The 15,494-nt window shown below is 34.3% G+C and overlaps 1 protein-coding gene across 9 annotated transcripts in view; it reads left to right on the top strand.

Moving 5' to 3' along the window:
- KCNT2 (potassium sodium-activated channel subfamily T member 2) overlaps window positions 1-15,494 on the top strand; it is a 382,662-nt gene that overhangs the window by 362,918 nt on the left and 4,250 nt on the right. For all 9 annotated transcript variants that reach the window (NR_146057.2, NR_146058.2, NM_001287820.3 and 6 more), the window contains one exon: window positions 9,453-9,537. Coding sequence is in view for 7 of the 9 variants with exons in the window: in NM_001287820.3 (NP_001274749.1) it covers window positions 9,453-9,537 (85 nt within the window). In the remaining 2 variants the exon portion in view is untranslated. The remainder of the gene's footprint in view (window positions 1-9,452; window positions 9,538-15,494) is intronic.

Below are 15,494 nucleotides of genomic sequence, written 5' to 3'. Positions count from 1 at the left end.
TATTTTGTTTGGTGAGGATGTGGTTTCCAAGATGGTCTTGATGCTTCTGGATGTTCATCAGTGTCTGGGTATTGAAGAGTTAGGTATTTATTGTATTCTTTGCAATCTGGGCTTGTGTGTACCCATCTTTCTTGAAAGGCTTTTCAGGTGTTCAGACTTAGGCTTTGTTATTTTTTTGGGTTTGCTTTGGCTTTTTTAGAGAGAGGGTCTTGCTATGTTGCCCAGGCTGGTCTCAAACTCCCGGGCTCAAGCAATCCTCCCACCTCGGCTTCCCAAAGTTCTGGGATTACAGGCATGAGCCACCACAACCTGCCTGAGACTTGGACTTTGTGTTTAAAGTTTTTGGTCACTGCAGCCATATCTACTCACGGTGCACCCCAAGCCCTGTAATGCTGTGGCTCTTACAGACTTGTAAAAGTATTACATTGTTGGTATTGCATAAGATCTTGAAGAATTCTCTGGATTACCAGGCAGAGACTCTTGTTCTTTTTCTTTATTTTCTCCCAAGCAGAGTCTCTCTCTGTGCTGACCTGCCTGGAGCTGGGGAAGGGATAACACAAGCACCCCTCTGGCCAGCACTACTGGGACTGCAATGGGTCAGACCTGAAGCCAACACACTATGGGGCCTTGCCCAAGGCTTGTGGTAACCACTGCCTGGCTACCACGTATGCTAGCTGAAAGCCCTAGAGCTCTACAAACAGAAGGTGGCAAAACCAGCCCATCTTTTTTCCTCCCTTCAGGGTGGTAAGTTCCCTGCTTATTCTGGGCAAGTCCAGAGATGCCATTCAGGAGTCAGGGCCTAGAGTCAGAAACTTTAGGACTCTAACTGTTTCCCTATCCTACTGCAGCTGGCCTGGCACCAAAACCACAGGCAAAGTCCATCCCTCTCTTCCCTCCCCTTCCTATAAGCAAAGAAATCTCTCCCTGTGGCCACCACCACTCCAGGCCAATGTTGGGTACTACCTGGCTACCGTCAATGTTCATTCAAGGCCCACATGCTCTTCAGTCAGATTTTGGTGAATGTTGCCAGGCAGGAAACTCTCTCCTCAGGACAGTAGGCACCCCTTTGGCCCAGGGAAGGTCCAGAAATGCTGACCAAGAGCCCAGGCCTAGTACTGGGGACAGTAAAAGCCCACTTGGTGCTCTGTACCACTGTGACCAAGCTGGTACCTGGGGCTGCAAGACAAAGTCCCCTTTACTCTTCCCTCTCTTTTTCTCTAGCATAAGGAATCTCTTGCTATAACCACCACAGCTGGGAATGTTCTGGGTCATACCTGATGCCAGCACATCTCTGAGTCTCACTTAAGGCCCACAGCAAGTACTGCCTGGGTATCACAGCTGATTATTCAGGGCCCAAGGGCTCTTTAGTTGGCAGGTAATGAATGCTGCCAGGACTGAATCCTTCTGTTTAAAGAAGCAGGTTCCCTTCTGGCCGAGGGTATGTCTAGAAATGTCATCTGGGAGCTAGAGCCTGGAATGTGGACCTCGGGACTTTGCCTGGTGCCCTATCATACTATGGCTGAGCTGGTATCCAAGTTGCAACACAAAGTCCTTTTTACTCTTTCGTCCCCTCAAGCAGAAGGGAGAAGCCTCTCTTGCAGCTGTGAGCTGCACCGCCTGGGTTTGGGGGAGGGGTGGCACAAGCACTCCCTTGGCCATCCCAGCTGGTATCTCACTGGGTCATGTGCCCCATCAAGTCCATTGTCTTTGATTCCAACACAGCTCCAGGACTTCCCCAAGAATTTCAGTCCTTATGGCCTAGACATCCTTTCAAGTTTATTTAGAACCCCAGAGCACTTTAGCCCACAGTGACAAGGCTTGCCAGAACTCAGGTTCTGACTGCTGGAATAGGCAGTTCTTCTCTGGCTAGAACTTGTCTAAGTGTTCCCTCTGTGGGCACTGGCTGAGTTCTGCCCAGTGTTGCTTACCACTGTTCCAGGGCAGCATTGAGTTCCAATGCAGTCTCACAGTCACTGTGTTCTCCATTCCCCGAGTGCACAGACTCCCTGCACCATGTGGCCACTGCCAAAAGATAGGGGAGGGTTGGTGTTGGAAATTCAAGATGGTCTTTCCTACTCTCCTTAGTGCCTCTTTCAGTGACATAAAGTTAAAAACAGATGCTGTAGTTGCTCACCTCATCTTTGGTTTTTATGAAGGTGTTTTTTTTTGTGTGGATAGTTGTTCAATTTGGTGTTCTTGCAGAAAGTATGGAAGCTTCCATTTGGTCATCTTGCTTCACCTCCTCTGTGGAAAAACACTTCTTAAAAATGTTTTTTCATGCAATGAAAAGAAGAAAGCTAGAGTGGCTATATTAGTATCAAAGTAGATTCATGCAATAACATGGATTCAGCACAAAAGCATAGCTAAGAGAAAAATAGAAACACATTTTATTATTCCTAGAAAACTGCTTCTTGAAATCAGTGATTGCTAGAAGTTGGGATTGAGAGGAGAAAATTGACTACAAAAGGGCATGAGAGATCTGTTTGGCATTATGAAAATGTTTGACATCATAATTATGGTAGTAGTTGCCACACTATGCATTTGTCAAAACTCATTGAATGTGCACTTGGGATTAGTTAATTTCTTATTTTGTTTTTACCCAACGTACCTATGAGATAATCAAAACAGTGATGGTGATCCTAAAATAACTTCAATGATATGTTTAAAGTTATATAGGAAGTTTACAGTAACTTATAGTAAACCTATAAGTAAAGATTCCTGACACTTATTCTGAAGATCTGTATTATATAGTATGAAGCTATTCTAAGAAAATTGCTAAAAGGGTCTGTGAAGGCAAAAACTTTGCCTATCTTGTTCATTGCTGTGTCCTCAGAATTAGAGTTATCTGTGATCCAAATAATCATGCTGTTATCATTACTGAATGACTTAATCGAACACAAAAATAATGAATATCATGTAATAAATTACAATTATCAACTGATCATAAAAATGTTCTGTAAGTCAAATGAAAGTACTGCAGGAGAGCTGCAAAATTGGAAAGCTTGGTATGTACTTATTTTTAGATTTTTTAAGTATATGTTTAATATTGTTTTCTTCAATCCTCAACTATTACTTCAGTAGTAGTAACTTTAAATTTAAATCAATGGGTCCAATTATTAAAATAAAATTATATAATAAATATGCTATTTGTGTTTCCAAAATCTTTTAGGCTTTCTGTAATGTCTTGATTTTACATTTTCAGATTACCAATTAGATTCATCACTAAATTTTGAAGTACTTCACCTGAACACATATAAAACCTTTTAGTTGACATGCAATGAATATTCTATTTAAATATAAATGTACACTATGTTCCTTACTATGAAGACAATCTGTATAGTTTTGTCCCACATTCTTTAATATAAAATAGCTGTAATCATAGTATTTTGAAAGAAACTAGCATTTATTGATAGCTTCCATTCACCAGGGCACCCAGTAGCCTTGAAGATTGTGGTAGGGTAAGGGATATGGAGCAATGGAGAAAGCATCTTCACAAAACAAAACAGGACTTTGCACCATTGAAGAAATCATATATATTTAGACTAATTGTTCATGTTTGCTTTCTTTTGAATCTCTATCTTGTTAAAAAATATTGCAAGGTGGTTTTTGTTTTTCAACATTTATGAAACGTAACATAGGTTTTTAAAAGAAAATCTGTGTTTTCTTTTAAACACAAGTAGGGTAGTGACATAGGTTTTTAAGAAATATTGAATACTCTATTTTGAAAGGAAAATTGAGTATCAAGTAATTAGTTTTATTTGCAGGAAGCTAGTAAGTGATGGAGTGGCTCATGGCAAGTTAAAATGTAGCTTGTTCTGAAAATCTTTCTATTCATTTTGCTCATAGTTTCATATGATGTTGAATACACTGAATATTCATATGGAGATAAATTAAGAGAGTTCAAATGTTTTTAATAATTTTATCTTGCCTATCATAAAATGATTAAAAATCTTTGAATGATAATGAAAATAATTTTAAATAGAGGTCAGTTAAATGGAATTATTCTTCTTTAGTTCTTATCTCTAAGCACCTTTCACACCCTCCAAATATACTGGTCAGTTCAGTAACAATAGATGAAATAGTTGTACTCATAAACATAATTTGGCACTAAACTGGAATACATGAGCAAATTGAGTCAGCACTGTAAAACTAGCCAGTTTTATAGGTGGATAACACATAATGTGTATATAAGTTCAGGTGAAGGAAAATGAAATCTTCACTAGATTATGCTATTACCAACTATGTAGAAGAAGTAAGTACAGTATGACTGAGTTTAGCTTCCCTGATAAGGTATTTCTTGTACTAACAAAACAAAAACAAAAACAAAAACAAAACAAAACCCTCTTTCTCATATAGCACCTATTTCTTTTACTTATTTTCTCCCATTGGCATTCAAACATACTGTGGTATCTCCCAGCTTAAAATTCTCTGTCTCCTTCTCTAAGTCTCTTTCTCTGTCTTCCTTTCTCTCTCTCTCTCCTATTTCTGTCTTCCACATCATTTCTATCTCTCTTCCTCGCCCCTTTTACTAATTTATTCCATTTCTATTGTTCTCTTGCTACCAATATCTCTCACATGGGTTTCTGTTTCACAATGACCACCTAATAGTCCTGAGTTTAAACTTGTCCCACACAAAGTTAATTTCCCACAAAGCAATCAAAGTGATATATTTAATGTAAAATTGTTTCATACCACCAGCCTTCCCCTCGATCCTTACAAGCTTTCAATGTTTTCTCATTGCACTTTGAATAAAATTCAAACTGCTGACCAAGGGTAAAGCCCTTCAAGAATCTGGTCCCAGCTTGCCTGTTCAACATCATCTCAAATTAATCTTCTCCTCTCTCACTTTAGTTTAGTCCATTCCCTGGTGCCTACTTTCTGCAAATTAAACCAAATCATCTCTTGCTATGCCATTTGCCCTTCTATCTGTTCAAAACACGCTTTCTCTATTTATGCATGCCCACACCTTCACATAGCAATACATATATAATTGTTTTTTATAACTTACTGCTTGATTTTGCCTGCTACTATAATAATACATAACCTTTATGTTGCACTTGATAGCAATAAGATACTAAGTACAAGAACTATAAATCAATGTGAACATATTATTTTTAAATTATATTTGTTATTTATTTATTAGAATAAATAGAATAAATGTTAATTCTAACAACAACCTGTGAGATTGCACTGTTGCTATCCTCATTTTTCATGCCAGGATGTTAATCGCAGAGAGATTAAGAGAAATTAAATAATTTGCCTAAGATCTCAGAGTAAGCAATTGGCAGATCCATAATTTCAAAGCAAGCAGTCTGGATTCAGAGCCTTTGTTCTAAGTGATATCTTTATATTATATAGAATGTTCCTCTGACTACACATGATACAATGGATATGTGTTTTCAGAAGTTATATTCGTGTACTAGGGCTGCCATAAAAAAATACCACAGAGTGCATGGTTTAAACACTAGAAGTTTATTTTCTCACAATTGTGGAAGATGGAAGTCCAACATCAAGGTGCCCAAAATTTGATTTCTTCTGAGGCCTCTCATGTTTGCTGACAGATGGCTGCCTTCTTTCTGTGTCCTCATACAGTCTTGTCTCTGTGTGTATTTACTCCTGGTATCTCTTCTTCTTCTAATGTGGACACCAGTCCTATTGGATTAGAGGACAACCCTGTTGACCCCATTTAAACTTAATTAGTTTTTGAGGCTCTATCTCCAAATACAGTCATCTTGGTGGTTAGCTTTTCAACATTGGAATTTGTGGGGGAACACACAATTCAGTCTATAACAGAAATATTATTTAATGGTAACCTACACAAATATACAAAATATTTAAATTTCTGTCTTACAAAATTCTATTATCCTCTTTCAAAAATCCTCTTAAAATACTTCAACATGAAAATTTAAAACAAAACAAAAATATGAAAGTAATGTGTATGGAATAGGACTCATTAATCAATTATTTTGTAAGAACCATAGGAATATGATTCTGTCCCTTTTCTAATGTGATCTATTTACACAAACTACTCTAAGCAAAATATTTGCCATTTGAAGATTTTTGTTTAATAATTGTATATGCTAGTTAATATAGCAAAAGAAGTTTCTTTGTAAATGCTAGTAGCAATCTTTAAATTTTTCTCCATATAATTTATTTTAAAGTTTATAATATTCAAAAATATTATTTTCAGTTTTTATGAGTAATTTTATTAAAATAATTATGTCACTGATGAAACAGTACTTTTAATGAAAATAATTTAAACTTATAATTTTTTTATTTTGCTAATGTCGTATTTTGGTTATCAGGGACACAGTAAATATATTCACTGCAAATTCCCTTCATATATATTTTTATTTGGTAAGAAATAGATTCTGTTGTTCATGAAGCTAATTTACCAAATAAAATTTATTTTATTCAGTAAATATGGCATTCTTGGAGCAAAGCCATATTTTAATTAATTTGTATCTTTGCCATAGTCAATGATAATTGATAGGATCTTGAAGATCCTACAAATTTGCCACATTTTCACCTCCAGAATGAAAGAATATCTAGAAAACAACCATAGAGAATGACTGATGGAGACAAAATATTCCAGGATCATGGCTAATAGAAACTATTGTTGAATGTGGTTTTGATGTGTGACTGCAATAGGCTTTTAGAAAATCTCACTTTTTAATTCTTTTTTAATTATTATTATACTTTAAGTTCTCGGGTACATGTACACAGCATGCAGGTTTGTTACATATGTATGCATGTGCCGTGTTGGTTTGCTGCGCCCATTAACTCGTCATTTACATTAGGTATTTCTCCAAATGCTTCTTAAACACAAAGTCACAAAAAAGAGGGGCAACTGTAGGCCTTCTGTGCAAAGCAGCATGGCAGAGAACAAGCAGGCAAAATGTACCCTATAGGAAGGCACACGTGAAAGAAAAAGAGAATAGCTTTGAAGTCAGCAAATTCTTTTAACCTAATTCTAAAAGATAAGTCATTCCTCCTCCCTTAGGAAAAGTCAGTGAGGGGTGAGGAAAGAAACCAAGAGAGATTATTTCTGATTGTGATGCTTTCTACGTCTTGATAAGCCATGTATAATAATTGAATTGAAAACTTTAGCAAAATGCTTGCTCCAATTCCGTGGTTTGTGGGAAAATAAATATCTTCAGTAGGATAAATAATACAGGCTACTTAAGCAGAAAAAAAATATTGGCACAAAAATCATATCTCCCACCGGAAATTTCTCAATTATCTACACAATTTTTACATTTTTAACAGGCAAGCCAGGTCACCGATAGAATTTGGCTTGATTCTAGAACCAAGAAGTATAATATCCTGTTAATAATCAAGGATAAAGGCTAGGTGTTGATATTGACTGAGAAGTTATCTGTTAAATTGTTTTTTCCTGTATCACAGTTCAATAATGTCATTGTTCATAAAAGAAACGGAGTTATATATAGTCAAATAAGATGTAGATTTTCTAGTCCACCTCTTACTTTTTAGATTATTACAATTTAGTCTCCACAATGCACTATCAATCTGTACCTTTGCACAACAGTTGTAGAAATTCAAATAAGGGGGCATTTCTCAAAAAGCACATATGAATCAAAATTTCTTTTCTTATGGAGAAATAATCCTAGTAATCTCCTGCCAGTAAAATATGTTTTGAGTTGGAATTATACCTTATTTGTAGTAAGCATCAATATATATTCATTGGAATTCTAATCTCCAGACAGTTAACTTAGCCATCTAACACTAGATATGACCACCAGGTTTAGCAAATAAAAATACATGATTCCCAGTGGAACTTAAATTTCTGATAAACAACAAAGATATTTTAGTGTAAGTATATCACATGCAATATTTGGGATACATTTATTCTAAAAAACATTAGTTATATGATCAAGCCATTGTACTCCAGCCTGAGTGACAGACTGAGATTCCAACAACAGCAACAAAAATGGTAGTTGTTTATCTAAAATTCAGATTTCATGGGCATTCTCTATTTTTCCTGGCAACCCTAACACTATGGCATGATACAATTCCTTGTGTCTATCCCATAGATGTGGAGCTGAATATACTAATTTATTTGATTATGAATTTGGTGAGCTATTGATTGTAATAATGTTACTGGCAAACTTACAGTGGGTTTAATTATTTTGTGATTTTTCTGCCTTGAAAGATAAGGATTTTTGTTTTTACACTTTAAAAATGGGGCACATCTCCATATCAACTTGAAATACCATAGCCGAAAATAGTGTCTTTCATATTAAAGTGACAGGTTTCTCGTTAGAGGAACACAGTAGTCAACATTATTTTATGAATGTAATTTATATTCCAGTGCAGCAAATTGTTTATCAGGGTCAGCTACAAATATCTTGATTTTAGTTTAATGCAGTTATTTGAGTATGCACTAAATACTATAGGTATTGGTATGAAACCATTTCTTAGACTGGTATGAAACTTATTCTTAGACTTTGGGTCAAACTGAAAAATTTAGTTCTTTCTTCAGGAGCCATTCTTGTCTGCAACTGCAGTGCCTGGAATACTATAGCTCAAAAACAGGATTTTTGAGAGAATTCTCATAGACTGAAAACTTTACCCATGGGAGGAATTATGTTTACTGAAGTATATACATCCACATAACTTTATATTTACATCTTATGATAATCTTGAAATCTAAAAAATTGAGACCACAAAGCTGTTTGCCTTTTATTTTTTTCAATGTCCTATGTAATGCAGGGTCAACATTTCAACTTGCAGCCTGAGGATGTTTTCAGAGTGAATTAATAAATTAAAAGGGTTCAGCTTTTCATTTTAAATATATACACATATATATATTGCTTTAGGAAAAACAAATGATTCAGGAGTACACTTCCCTTAAAATTCATGGTTAAATTCTGTTCTAGAGGATTCTTTGCATTCTGCAAAAGCATTAGGATGAGTTACATGAGATGTGTCATGTAGTGAAGCCAAACACATATTTAGGGTCTTCAAGCTTTTTAGACACATTTCTAGCATGTTTTCTAAACATAATGTAATTATATTATTTTTCCCAAGAATTTCCTGTGTGGATATTCTTTTCTAGGATTGTTATCTATAACCATGATTATTTTTTGTAATTGATAAAGCATAATAATCAAGTAAACATCTTATCCAGTCATTTATTAAAGAAAAATACTTTTTCAGTGTAATAAACGGTAAACTATAACTGTGATTATTCTGAACAGAATTAGATACTTTATTGTTATCATCTATTGGAACAAAAAATAAGTATGTGTCAGATATTTTCAATGACAGCAATTTGAAAATAGCCAAACTTATGTGCACAATCATGCTGTGGACAAAACTATACCAAGTTCTTGTTGACAGTTATATGGTTTGAATATAAGCTGTTCACTAGTAATTCCTGTAATTTTCTATAAGCAGTATAACAAACTTGGCATTTATTTATCTTCTAGATGAAATGAATGATCATCAAAGTACCCTCTCCTACATCCTGATTAACCCATCTCCAGATACCAGAATAGAGCTGAATGATGTTGTGTAAGTTGATCTCATATCTCATATAAGACAGATATTTTTAGAAAACTACTATTTATTTTTGTACTTATATTTAGGCCATAATAGCCTCTTATTTTTCTTATAAGTGCTTAAATAGTCTATACCTAATTTTATAAATAAACAAATGCATTTCATGTGTTGTGTGCAATATAAAAATATGATTGTTTAAAAGCAGTATAAAATAAAGAAATAGCAGCATGAATTCTGTATTATGTGAGCTAAAAAATATTTGGAAAAAATAAGTGAAGACGTGGAAGAATAAAAGAGCAACTCAACAGAAACAGTGAAATATCCCACACTGTCTAGTTCTAAATACCTTCAACTTCCCAAAAGCCAAACTGTGATTGGTCAAACACTTAATAGAAAAAGTTCTATGGGACTAATTTTATTTCTTGAAAAATAATTATTGAACATGTACAGTGGTAGCACTCACCTAAAGATGTGAGATAGAAAGACTAAGGCATTTTCTCTGACTTCAAAGTCCTTACACTCTAATTAACAAAGCTACAATTTACACATGAAAAATTTAATAGCAATACATAATAGCACTTTGTCACTAATAAACTAAGCATCAGTTGAGTGACATAGACAGTGCTTTTCTGAATTAATAGAAGGAGACATTATTGAGTAGTTGGAGAAATTATAAAGAATGTAAGACTTAAACTAGACTCTGAAGGGTAGATAGAATTTATGATGGTGGAGAAGAGAGGACATTCCAGAACAGAAAGAATGGCTTGGAAAATGCAGGAATTGCATAAAGTGTTTCAGTGTCAATTTGACTGGAGTAGAAATTGTGTATAGTTAGCATTTCTGTTGTAAGGCAAATGTAATACTGGAAAAATAAATTATATTTGCCTCTGGAAAGGTCTTACGTGACAAAATGAATTTAAAGTTGGCCTTATAGATGATGGACAGCACTTAGACATATATGAGCAAGTATGTAACAAGACTTTAGAAAAGGCACTTTGACAGTTGTTGGTGTAAGCCTAGGAAAGAAATTCCTTACAAGAATCTTCCCTTGAGATACACGACCTGTCCTGGGGTAGATCAAGTGATGTTTACCCAGGGTAACTAACTATAGATTGTATTACTGACATAAAACAAATGCCAAAGATCCACATGTTTTGTTGGATATTAGATCCATAGGATGTGTTTGTGTCTGTAATCCAGAAAGCAAGTGACAAAGTCAGAGACTAGCAGGACTGAGAACATTTTGTTATGCTGAGCATAATATGGATCCATGCAAGAGGTTTAGAACTAAATGTAATAATATGCAAAATTTTAGAAGACTCTTTTATATGTTGTCAGTTTTGTGGAAGATTTCGACTGGAGTGAAAAGGGTATGATTTTTTTAAAAGAGTTCTGCAGAAAACAATAGAATTGACTGATAGGATGGGTTAGGGTTGGGGTGAATATGAACGTAGGGAAAACAGTTAAAAAGCAGGTGTTAGAGAAACAACCATCTGTCATAGCATCAAGATAAAGCATTGTAAAGGCAAGCCCCTATGTAAATAGATTTATGAAGGCAGAAAATGAGACTTGATTATTGATTTGGGAATTGAAAAAGAAGTTTAACACAGCTTTAGGGTTTCAAACTGTGTGATTACAAAAATAAAAAAAAAATGTTGTTTCATCAAAACAAGTCAGAATGGGGAGACAATTTTCCAGGCAGGAAAGAGGGGCTGTTGGGTAGTAAAAAAAAAAGAGATGATATGTGGGTCCAGGTATATATGTATTTTTAATAAATGTTGACTTTCTAATTAATTAAGTTTATTGATATATAATAGTTGTGCATTTTATGAGGTACATGTGATATTTTGATACATGCATAAAATATGTAATGATCAATCAGGGTAATTGAGGTAGCCATTACCCCAAACATTTATAATTTCTTTGTGTTAGGAATATCCCAAATGTTCTTTTCCAGCTATTTTGAAATATACAATGAAGTCTTGTTAAGCATAGTTGCCCTACTGTGCTTTGAAGCACTGGAATTTATTTCTTCTGTGTAACTGTATTTTGGTTACTAATAAACCAGTTTCTCTCCATCTTCCCCTCCTCATCACCCTTCCCAGCCTCTGGTAACATTCTGCCTACTATCTCCATGAGATCAATTATTTTAGCTCACACATTTGAATGAAAACATGATATTTGTTTTTCTGTGGCTTATTTCTCTTAACACTGACTATGTTGTTTTTCTGTGGCTTATTTCATTTAACACTGACTATGTTGCTGCAAATGACAGAATTTCATCTTTTTTATGGATGAATGGTATTCTACTTTGCATATATACCACAAATTTTCTTCATCCATCCATTCAAATATGTTATTTAAAGTATAAAGAGGAAATGTCTAGAAAGCATTTAGATACACAGTATTGGAACTTTGAAGATAAGCTAGTTTTCTGTAGAAAAAATATTTTTTATCTTCCAGCTGAAAAAGGCTAAATAGGGAATGTTTTTTCCAAAAATATAAATACAGAAGAAACAGTAGAATAATTAGTGTTGTACTACTGACGAGTGTTTTGTTTTAGGGCAGAAACAGGAAGCATTTCAAAAACTTATTAGGAAAATAAAACAGCAGGAGTAAATCTGACCCCAAATAAGTGTGAAAAGATTCCTAAAATGCACCTAAGATAGAACTATCAAGTATAATATTGCTTTATTTTGCCATCTGATAATACTGGTTAGAATACAGGAGCATTGGGGAAACAGATGAATAACAATTTAAGCTAGTAGAATTCTTAAGTCACTGTCAAAAATTGTATCTGATGGTGATATTGAATTTATAAAGGACTTCAATTAGAGGAAAACATCTTATTTATGATGCACTTGGATTTTAATTACTCATCCTGGACCCTTCACATAGTATATTATGATAATAAAATAAAGCTGTTCTTTTTTCATGGCATCCACATTTATACATGTCTTTTTTCTTTTAAGTCCATAAGTATAGATAATTTTTATTAAATATCTAATCTACCCATATTAATTCCAGCCTTCTTATACCTTTTTTCAAATAAATATAATTGTGTTAATTATATAGAATTTAAAAAATTATGCTTACCTTATTTGTATTTTATAATAAATTATGTTTCTTAAGCTTAATACAATCATTTCCCATAATTATTTTTGACAGAATGTTCAAAGAAAATGTTGTCACCCTTTTGAGACTAAGAACATGTCATTTTGTCAAATATTTATGTTCTTGATTTCAAATGATGTTTAATCTTTTTACTTATGAATAAAATATGTATGTCACAATGTGGACAGGTAAAGTAGACATATTTTTAGAGAATTTTCTGTCTTTTAGATACTCTTATTTTTTATTAGTTTTAAGCTAAAACATCAACTTGACTGCTATTAAAAAAATAAAAAAGCTTTTCTTACACCATTGCAGTGATCTGTATTTGTGGCATTGAGATAATTAAATTTCAGTGGAACCAGAACAATGATAAATTATCATTTGAAAGATGCCTACCATGACATGTAATATATAAAAACACAGTTTAAGAAATTTGCTTTATTGGACTCATAGGTTTTGTAGTGACAATAATAGGAAAAGGAACTTTTGCTACTGCATCAATGAATGCAGAGAATAATGGATTATACTGTTATCTTTTATGTTTTTCTAAAAATTCACTTTCGGAAGTTTGTTTTAAATGAAGAAGCAACATTAATTTGATGCGAACAATAATAAATCACTAGATGATATGGTATTAAAAAGTGTAATGTGCACTATTAGTTTTCTTCATCAATCCACAATGCTATTGATATTTAAAGTAACTATAAAGCAGTGTGCATAGATGACAAAATCCAGTTAATAGGTCCAAGAACACTAGTCTCAACTTTTATTTGGTCAAAGAAAATAGACTCAGTGTTTTTGATTGCCTTTTCTCATTTTCATTAAGGAGTATATTTTGTGAATTTTTCCCTTCAGTCTTTAAGACAAAAGTGCAAACTTTATTAGCGTTCTCACTTTTTAATTAGTTTTCCTGTTCATTTTATATACTGCCTCTTAAAAATATTATAGAAGTATTAAATACTTCTTTCATTTGGACTTGGAACATGACTTTCTTAGAATGCTGTGTTGCATATATTTATTTTCTTCTCTCCTTTTCAAACCCTTAGTGGCTTCCTACTGCCTTTAAAACACAAATTGAAACTACTTATTCTGAAACTTAAGGTCATTCATTACCTGTTTCCTACCTTTGTTTTTGACTTTACCTACCATGATTTACTAGTTTTCTAAAGTCAAATCATTTCTAAGCACATCAGAAACATCCATCCTCTGTGGTCTCCATTGACAACATTTGGGATCACCTCCTGTTCCTTCCTCCTAAATCTTCTCTGAAGCCTGGAGAGGCAAGTTCAACCCAACCCCACAATAAAGCAGTTCCTAATTCTCTCTGTTGTTCTTTTTCACTTTGTATGATGTTTGGAATTTCTTTTTTTTTCTTCCATTATATCTGCTTCATAAATTTTACTTTAATCTTCTGCCGGACAGGAGTCATGTTTTGTGATTTTGTTTTAATTCTAAGGTGTTAGCACAGTTTCCTACAGGTGCTCAAGAAGCAGTCACTAAAGATACTCAGGCATACCTCAGAGATTTTGCAGGATTGGTTCCAGACTACCACAATAGAGTGAATATTGCAATCAAGCCAGTCACTTGAATTTTTTGGTTTCCCGGTGCATACAAAATTTATGTTTGCATTATACTTTAGTCTACTAAGTGTGCAAAAGCAAAGCATTATGTCTAAAAATTTACTTAATTAAAAAACAGTTTATTGCTAAAAAAAAAATGCTAGCAGTCATCTGAGCCTTCAGGGAGTCATAATCTTTTTTTGCCGGTAGAGAGTCTTGCCTCAATGTTGATGGCTGCTGACAGATTGGGGTAGTGGTTACTGAAGGTTGGAGGGGTGTGGCAATTTCTTAAAATCAGACAACAATGAAGTAGTATGCTGCATTGATTGACTCTTTCTTTCATGCAATATTTATCTGTAGCATGTAATACCCTTTGATAGCATTTTACCCGAAGTGGAACTTCTTTTGAAACTGGAGTCAATCCTTTCAAACCCTGCTGCTACTTTGTCAACTAAGTTTATGTAATAATATAAATTCTTTACAGTCATTTCAACAATGTTCATAGCATCTTCACCAGGAGTAGATTTCATCTCAAGAAACCAATTTATTTGATGATAAATAAGAAGCAACTCCTCATTCATTCAAATTTTGGTCAGAGATTGCAGCAGTTGAGTCACATCTTTGGGCTCCACTTCTAATTCTAGTTATCTTGCTATTTCTACCACAACTGCAGTTACTTCCTCCATTGAAGTCTTGATCCCCTCAAAGTCATCGATAAGGGTTGGAGTCAACTTCTTCCAAACTTCTGTTAATGTTGATATTTCTACCTCATCCCACGAATCATGAACATTGAAATTACTCTTTGATCCATGGGCTGCAGAATAGATGTTGTGTTAGCAAGAATGATACAATACTAATCTCATTGTACATCTCCATCAGAGCTCTTGGGTGACCAGGTGCCTTATCAAGGGGCAGTGATATTTTGAAGTCTTTTTTTTAAGTGTTAAGTCTCAACAATGGGCCTAACATTTTCAGTAAACTATGCTTTAAACAGATTTGCTGCCAGTCAGGCTTTGTTTTTCCATTTCTGGAGCATAGGCAGAGCAGATTTAGCAGAATTCTTAAGTGTCCTAGGATTTCCAGAATGGTAAATGAGTATTGGCTTCAACTGAAAGTCACCGAATGCATTAGCCCCTACCAAGAGAGTCAGCTTGTCACTGAAGCTTTGAAACTAGGCTTTGTCTTCTCCTCTCTAGCTACTTAAGTACTAGATGGCAACTTTTTCCAATAGAAGGCTGTCTTCCAAATTGAAAATCTGTTGTTTAATTTAGCCACCTTCATCAATAATCTTATTAA

Source organism: Homo sapiens, chromosome 1 (assembly GCF_000001405.40).
Source record: "Homo sapiens chromosome 1, GRCh38.p14 Primary Assembly".
Classification (NCBI taxonomy): domain Eukaryota; kingdom Metazoa; phylum Chordata; class Mammalia; order Primates; family Hominidae; genus Homo; species Homo sapiens.
This window is presented reverse-complemented; position numbering and strand designations above follow the sequence as displayed.